This window comes from Homo sapiens (genome assembly GCF_000001405.40).
Source record: "Homo sapiens chromosome 17 unlocalized genomic scaffold, GRCh38.p14 Primary Assembly HSCHR17_RANDOM_CTG3".
Taxonomy (NCBI): domain Eukaryota; kingdom Metazoa; phylum Chordata; class Mammalia; order Primates; family Hominidae; genus Homo; species Homo sapiens.
In genome coordinates, this window is record NT_113930.2 from 144221 (window position 1) to 152691 (window position 8471).

At 45.4% G+C, this 8471-nt stretch overlaps 1 long non-coding RNA gene across 1 annotated transcript; it reads left to right on the forward strand.

Moving 5' to 3' along the window:
* The first annotated feature begins 2629 nt into the window (after positions 1-2629).
* On the forward strand, positions 2630-3670 carry LOC105379281 (uncharacterized). Its single transcript, XR_949115.3, has 3 exons — positions 2630-2713; positions 3329-3485; positions 3573-3670. It is a non-coding gene; the product is annotated as an uncharacterized LOC105379281 (long non-coding RNA).
* Positions 3671-8471: the final 4801 nt, after the last annotated feature.

Genomic DNA, 8471 nt, shown 5'->3' on the forward strand with positions numbered 1-8471 from the left:
GCCTTCATTTTCTTTATGAATCAACAGCCACTTGTCATTTCAATTGTCCAGAGGCGACTGACAGCACTAATACACTTAATGAATCAACCAGGAAAAATGGGCCTCTCAGGTGAGGAGGAGGCACAATGGTCACAAAACCCAATCCGTTCTCAGCTTTGCATGGTGCTCGCATCTCAAGAAGTGGTGTTAGCCATGTGAACCGTGTTCACTGGACAAGGCCAGAGGAAAGAATATTTAGTACAACACAACTATGGGGCTGCAAATCAAACTGGTAGTGGGAGCATGCATGAGGCTTCAGTGGCCGAGACACTGGTGGCTACCCTTCGGTGTCACTTAAACCTTTGAGGTGAAGGACATCTTTTTTCCCAACTGGCTCAGAGAAACCAATCAACATTAAAATTGAGATTTGTTTTTCTTTTCAAAATTTCTAAGACATAGAGGAGTCTCTAACACTCCAAAAGAGATTCAGCTATACATGCAGCTGAGGACCTGCCTGCTCTGTAGAGGGATGGCAGAGCAGCGGCCACCAGCTTTAGTAGCTTTAAGCTCCTCTTCTCATAGGGACAGGCCACCCCCACACAACCCCCCTAACTTCATAGGCTCTGGCTGTCAGGTGCACCTGGGGGACTGTCTTCCTCCCATCTCATTAGCTCTCGAAGACAGTTCAGCTCAATCTAAAACCTACCTTAGGATGGTGAGTTGTAGGCTCTCCTCCATTCTCCCAGCGCAGTGTGACTTCTGGAGAGTGCTTCTCCATCCTCTTACCTCAGATGATGTGAAAAGAGCCGTTTCCTGGGCAGTTAGATGTTCAGTGACATAACAGGCCCAGCATGTGCAGGGCCTGGCCCCACAGCCTGGCACGTCTCCCCTACCTGGCCTTCACGCTGGACTTTTCTCTTCTGCCACAAATATCAGGTGATGATCACCTCTGCCACACTCTCATGAGCTTGGTAAGTAGCAGGGGTGTAAACCCCAACAGATTTCCTGTGACTCTACCCTCTTACCACCCACTCAAGTGACATTATAAGCATACTTTTACATTTGATCTTATTTATGCATAATTTTTTTATAACATTTCTGACAACAGCCCACACAACGAAATGAGTCTGGCTTACAGAACACACGGGCGAGGCTGGGGTAGCATGTTTCAATTACTTTATTCCAATGTGAAATGAAGACTGATGATTTAAAAACAAGACAAAGTTGTTTATCAGCTGTGGGGTGGCTACACTTGCTAGCTCATGCTCACTTCCTTTGAAACAAGGTATCTGGACAGACCATATTCATAAGTAGCTCTTCGCAAAACCCCAGACAGAAGCCCCAGTCAGACACAGCTCCCTCAGGCTCACAGGGCAGCAACCTCCTCCTCCATGTTAGGCTCTGACAGCAGGCAAGGGAAGAAGCACAGGCCACAGGGGACAGGGAGATGTCCCGGACTGTAGGGATCCCCAAATGCCCCAGAGGTATTCTCTGTAGAAAGGCACACGCAGGTCTCACTGTGTCAGTGCAGTGGCTGAATCATGGGTCACTGCAGCCTCAAACTCTTAGGCTCCAGTGATGCTTTCACCTCAGCCTCTCAAGTAGCTGTATGGCAAAAAGCCTCCCATTTTTTTACTTAAAACCTGGACTTTAAGCCAGGTTGGACCTGGGGATAGTGGCAGCAAAAGCAGCAGCCAAATGTATACACTCCAGATGTCTACACTCATGGGCACAGGCATATTCCACACTTGCTGGAGCACGAGAGACCTGAGAGGCACCTGTTTCCCAGTTGCTAACTGATGTCCATACACCCCATTCACGTGTCTTCATTTAGGATTCTGCATAGTGTATTTGCTCAGCCAGTGTAAACACATCTTCTGGGGGGCATCATTAATTGCAGCACCTGACCCACTTGTTCTGGGAGGGAGTCAGGAGGAATCTGGTCAGCTCCTAATCCCCCAGGACAAAGGTGCTGCCCCCTTTTCAGCACTCACATCCAGCAATGCCATCTCTGGATGGGTTTTTCAAACACAAGCAGTATGAGGTAGCAAGAATGGTGTGACAGGCTCAGGGCCATGGGCAGCCGGTTGCTGGAGAAGCAGCACAGGGCAGGCACATCTGTGGGTGGCACCATGACAAGCCAAGGCAGCCACAGACCCTAATCCCAACAGCTCCAGCCCAGATGGCATTCAAATCTTCCCAGATAGTATTGGGGTACCCGATGCCCATCACTTGCCCGCTCATTAGCACGGCCTTGTTGGTTACTCAGGGACTAAGGAGAGAGGGTGGGGGATGTAGATCCAGGGTGGGCACCGCCTCACAGCCAGAGTCCACCTGACTGCAGGCCAGCAAGCAAGCCCAAGAAGCTCAGCTCTAGTCACCTCTGGCTGTACTTTATGTGTATACATTACATAAAGGTAGCAAACAGAGGTCAACAATAGCTGTTGTGATATGAAAGTCTATGCCTCATTAAGACCTTAAAATGCTGTTGTCTTAAGCTTTCTTTATTCTAATAAAATTTATACAAATAAACACATGCAAGCTGAAACTACTATAAATGAAATATTAGGATTTTTTAAACCCATAAACAGACACAAAGACAGTCACTGTTTGATTGCAGAGAAAGTGAGATTCTAAAGCAGCTGACCAGAAAACAGCCTCACCAAACCCCAGGCAGGCCAGGCAGTCTGAACACTACAAGGCCACGTGATGGTCACAGAGGATGACAGCTCCCGTGAGTATTGCAAGGCACTGTGTTAGCTTCTCACTCACAGTCTCAGAATACCCTGTGAGGGGAGGCCCCATCTCACTAGAGCACAGGAGGTTCCTGAGCTCTTCCCAGAAAATGGTCATCAAACGATGGAGCAGAGGGAAGCCCAGACAGAACAAGTGAGTCCCTAGGGTCTCCTTAACCTCCCTCAGCTCCTCCACATGGGTTCCTGAGGGAAAGTGAGCAGCCTCCTAACCCCCTTGATAGGGTTCCAGTCCTGCAGGTCGGACTCTCTCATTTTATGCTACCATAGGGGGTGACAATGCAACCCCAGGCCCCTTATTTGCCATCCCTCAATGCCAGGCCAGGCCCAGAGCCCCTTGCTAACACAGCCCAGGGGATGCTCAAGGCCCACCTCGGCACAGTCACCTGTAGTGTACTGAGATGAGCAAGGAGGTGCAAGTAGACACAAATCCCCATGGGCTTGGCCTCAGCCATGTTCCACAGGCTCAGGGCCTCGCAGATGAGCTCACAGCCCTCCTTCAGGAAGCCTGCAGATCACACCCTCAGGGAGCAGTGCTCAGATGAGCAGGCAGGCCCCACATCCCCCACCCCATGACGCTCTGTTCCACTTTGCAGGCTTCTGCATTGGCCAGTCCCCACTGCTTTCTGGTGAGATGTCCGAGTTGAAGTGAATGTTGAAGGCCACACAGCTGATGGAGCTCACTGCCTTGCACATGTTGTAAATCACCTCCTGGCTTCAAGGGTCAGCTGTGGAGACACAGCTTGATGGGAGGTAGGCCCACTCCACCATCAGTGGTGCTGGGTTGCCCTGATCTGCACCTTCCAGATACTTGCTAAGATATCTGCATGCTTCTCTAAGGGACTGGGTCACGAGACACCCCTGGCAAGGACCAGCTGGCAGAACAGGCTGGACACTCTCCCTCAGCCTCCCCAGCAGCCCCACCTGTGCTGTCATCTGTGCTGATGATCTCCGTGGTAAGATTATGGGAAACTTTTACAGCAAGTTTTCCTTTCTCACTTCCCTATCTTAATAACAGCACTGATAACTTTTAAGCCCTAGCAAGCTGAAACTGCAAGACACATGATCTTCTGCCTTAGAAGGGCCATGTTTGGGCAGTGGGTGCCCAGGTGAGAGCCCCATGGTTGTTAGTGGCAGCTGGGAGCTGGATGGGCCTGCCCCATAGCCTAGTGAAAAGTGGGACCCTCTCCTTCCAGAACATGGAAGTCTCAGAGGCTGGAAAAAGGTGCCTAAGTGGCCTGCCAAAAAGCATAAGGCTAGAAGGCCTGGAAAGAGCCCCAACAGCCTTCAAGCTGCCTGAGAGGGCTGGGCTCATTCCAGCTTTCTTTGCTTTCATCCTGTTAGGAAGAAAACCTGCTCACAGATGGCAGGCGGGCCTGAGGCTGCCATTCCCTCATCAGGGGCTATAGGCACCTTTAATGTGGCTCTTTCTTGAAGCAGCTGCTCAGGCCGGTTCTCGAAGAGCAGTTCCCTTATTATCCACAGGTCCTTCTTCCAGCCCCGTGTCTGCAGAGGGACTAGGGAGGGAGACAAGGGCTCAGCCTGTGCCCCACAACCTGCTTTGAGACATCTCTTTTTTTTACTTCCTCACAGACAGCCTGAAACTTCCAAATGAACAGACCAGAATGGAGCCTCCAGGAAAGTGTACAGAATTCTGTCTAGTACCCAGAAGGAAGGGGGTTCCCAGTGAAGGCAGGGCCAGGCTGCATGCACCTCTTCAAAAATGTTCTCCTCATAGTCCACGCTCAAGGTGTACATCCTCTGTGTGCTTGCAGTCCATGGCAGCCTCTGCCTTGGGAACAGTCCAGCTGCACACCTGCAATATGGTGGTGACCCTCTTGAATGGATGGTTCTGGGCCCCATTGCAGACAGCAGATAGGGAGATGCTCAGCCCATCAAGCCCAGAGCCCTGCCACAGGCTTCTGTGAGGCCTCCACCTGCTCTGGGTTCTTGCCCTGAGAGGCTGCCCTGAAGTCAAACAGAAGCAGGTGGGACTCTCTTCCACAGCTGCTCTCTCTCCCACTGACAGCTCCCTAGAGGGTAACTCAGACAGAGGGGATAGATTTCTCAGGCAGAAGGACTGGAGTTTCGGCTGACGATTCATTCCATACCCCCACATGACATGACACAAGGCAGGGGCTGTGGGACAAAGGCATTGCCTTTCCTTCTGGCATGAGGAATGGCTTAGGAAGCAGGTCTGGTGGGGCTAGGGTTGAGCGATAGGCTTCAGACCACAAGGAGTGGATGGACACTGAGCAAGTATCCTGGTTATCTGTCCACAGACCCAGAACAAGTGGCATCCCAGGAGCCTGGGAGGGGCTGGCTGAGACTTACTGGTTCCAGCAAAAGCCCATGTGGATGCAGTAATGCTGCCTGCTGCTGGTCCTTGGCTGTAATTACAAACAGGTACATGAGGTCCCCATGGATCTTGCAGCTCTCAGGGAGTGGGTTCCAGCTGCTCATGGTAGGCACTTTTAGTCACTGAACGTGCTTCAGGAATGGCCAAGCTTGATTAAGCCAGGCGTCTTGCTGTGAGACCCTCCACCCAACTGAGGACCCTCTTCCTTGTCCCCCCTGACAGTTTACCTTCCAGTTCTGGTTCTGGAGACACGATGGCCCTTCTTGGGCCCCTGGGAGAATGTGCTCAGATGACACACAGTCGACAGGGCCCATTTCCAAGCCATTCTTCCATTTCCCACTGTTTGAGGGGCTGAGGCCGGTGATCAGCACAGGGCCACCCAGGGCCAGCTGTCTGCACCTAAACGTCATGTTGGTCTGGATGTCTCAGAGCCAGAACTCTCCAGGTAAGATGGCCTGGTCCTCAGCACCTGGCCTCCATGCTCCTTTTTCCTCTGTTCAATCCTGGCCCCAATGCCTCCCGCAACTCTCAGGTCACCATTGGAGAAGATGCTCAGGAAGAACAAGGAGCTGCAGTCAACCCTGCTGAAGGTGGCATATGGGTCCAGGCTCTTGAGCTGGTCTTTGACATGGTACATGTGGATGCAGGCTTTGAGCAGTGTGAGTAGCTCTTTCCGGAAGGAGGGGAAAACGGTGTTACCAGGGTCCTACACCCTAGAACGACCCATCTAGCACAGAAAACAGTTTGCAACGTGCTATCATGTGTGATTTTAATTTTGGGCTTTAGGCTTTCATTTCCAAATTCCACAATAAACACATAAGGTGGGGTTCTGATTTCAACACACACACACACACACACACACAAGCACACACACACATTCTCTCTCTCTCCCTCTCTCTTAGAATCTTCCAGTGCATTCACACTGAAAGCCGAAGTCCTCCCAGAATCTTGTGAGAACCTAAATGATCTGAATAGTTTGTCATTGCTTTTGGGGATCTGGGAAAATCTCTGCACATTTCTGGAGACCGCTGTTATGCCATTTTTAATAAATCTGTTCTGCTTCAATTCAGAAGTGTGTGAGGGGAGTTGTGGAGGAATTGGCATTTGGGTTAGAAATTATAGGAACAACAGAGACAGATGACACCTGTTTTCTGCTTCATAATGTCAAGTTTTATGAAAGCTAAAACCTAATTCTACAAAAAAATTAGACTGAAAAACTTTATAGGCAAAAATTATCTTATTAAATAGGAAAATCTAATTATTTTATTTTAAAATTTTCTTTTCCTTAGTAGGACCTAATCATAGAAATTTAAACACTGTATGCCAACAGCCTCTACTGTAGGATGGTTTATTGTAAGTACTCATTTTACAGATTTCTTACAAAAACTTTTTCCGTAAGGGAAATTAGAATATTGTTCAACATATATTGAATTCACAATTATTACCTTATTTCTCACTTATTATTTTATGATTCTGTTTTCTTTAATATGAAGATTACTATGACTGTGTTTTCACTTTCTGAATTATCATGTGTCACATTTTTCTGTAATTTCAGTTTGAGAAGTTGTAAAACAGCATGCCCAAATGTATATGTTATGTATCAATTATATAATTAATTATTAAAATATTTGGCTTGTATGTTTAATTGACTCTAGGCACAATGTTACTATTAACATTTTCTTCCAGTTTTCCCAACTTTTATTTGACTAATAGTACAATTTATTTCCAGTTTTTATTTTATCTGTCAATGTTTTATACTGTATTTACAATATTTATATTGTCACCATATGTAAAAATGTAAGACCTTTCTATTAAAGGCTAGATTACAGCCTTACCCTTTTGTGTAAGGAAAGCAGCAATGCATCAGTAGCATAATTTAAAACTTTCTCTAGTATTACTTAAATTTTTATTTCTTAAAACTTTCTCATCACATCTCTTTCTAATAATTATAATATGGTTTCTTTGAAATGTTGTTGCCCTAATTGTATCCAAATAATTCAAAATTTATACTTTTTACGGATTCAAAGGAAGAGTTGAAAATTGTAGTTACCTAGGATTCTTTTTCAGTTGGACACTATGTTTATTCAGGATTTTATAGATCAAAGTTTCTCTTAATTATGTTTTAGAATTTATGTTTCTGTATTTTTTAGAGTAGGCTGTCTCACAGCAGTTAATTGTGTTTTTACTTTCTACCTATTTATTATGATTTTGAATTACATTATTCAAGTAAGAATTCGGGGAAGGTTTCTTTTAAGTTTGTTTTGCAATTTTGCATTTCTGTGTTTCATGTTTTAGGGTAGGGCACCTTACATCAGTTTATTGTTTTTAGTTTGAATTTATATAATATAATTTTCTATGACAATATTCAAATCTGTACACCTTAAGACAGTGTGAGGCAAAAAATATGAACCATCCCTATGGTCTTTTGTTAATATAATGATTTAATTGTTTGTTTGCTTGTATAAATATTGCCCCTATTTTGTTTATGACTTGTGCATTTTCTTCTTGTTTGATGGCCAATAATTGATTCTGTCTAAGTGAGTAATCATGGAAATTGTCTTAATTTCAACATCTATTGTTTATATTATCCTAGTGTGAAAGAAAGACTTATGCGATTTGAAGATAATTTTTCAAAAACTTTGTAACTCTCTCTCTTCGGGTGTCTTTACTTATTTATTTATTTTTTGACAGACTCTCACCCTGTCGCCAAAGTGCAGTGGCACAATCTTGGCTCACTGCAACCTCCACCTCCCAGGTTAAAGCAATTCTCCAGCTGCTGCCTCTTGAGTAGCTGGCATTAAAAGTGTGCACCACCACGCCTGGTTAATTTTTGTGTTTTTCATAGAGCTGGGGTTTCACCATGTTGGCCAGGCTGGTCTTGAACTCATGGCCTCAAGTAATCTGCATGCCTCAGCCTCCCAGAGTGCTGAGATTACAGGCATGAGCCATCTCTCTTGGCCATTGGGTGTCATTTTTAATTTCGATTGTGGTAAAAATACATAACATAAAATTTAGAATCTTTAACATTTTTTCTTATACAGTTCAGTCATGTTAATGTATTTACATTGCTTTGCAACATATTTGAAAACTTTTTTCTTTTGCAAAACTGAAACTCAGTACACATGAAATGACAACTACCCATTTTCCTTACCACCTGGCTCATGATAAAAATCATTCTATTTTCTGGTTCTAAGTTTCAATACTTTAGATATTACATATAAGTAGAATCATAGAGTATCTGTTTTATTGTGACTAATTTTACTTAGCATCATGTTCTCAAGATTTCTCTTTATTGTGGATGCTACAAGATTTTCTGCCTTTAAAAGCTGAGTAATATTCCATTACTTTTGTATTACAAATTATATTTATTTATTCATTCT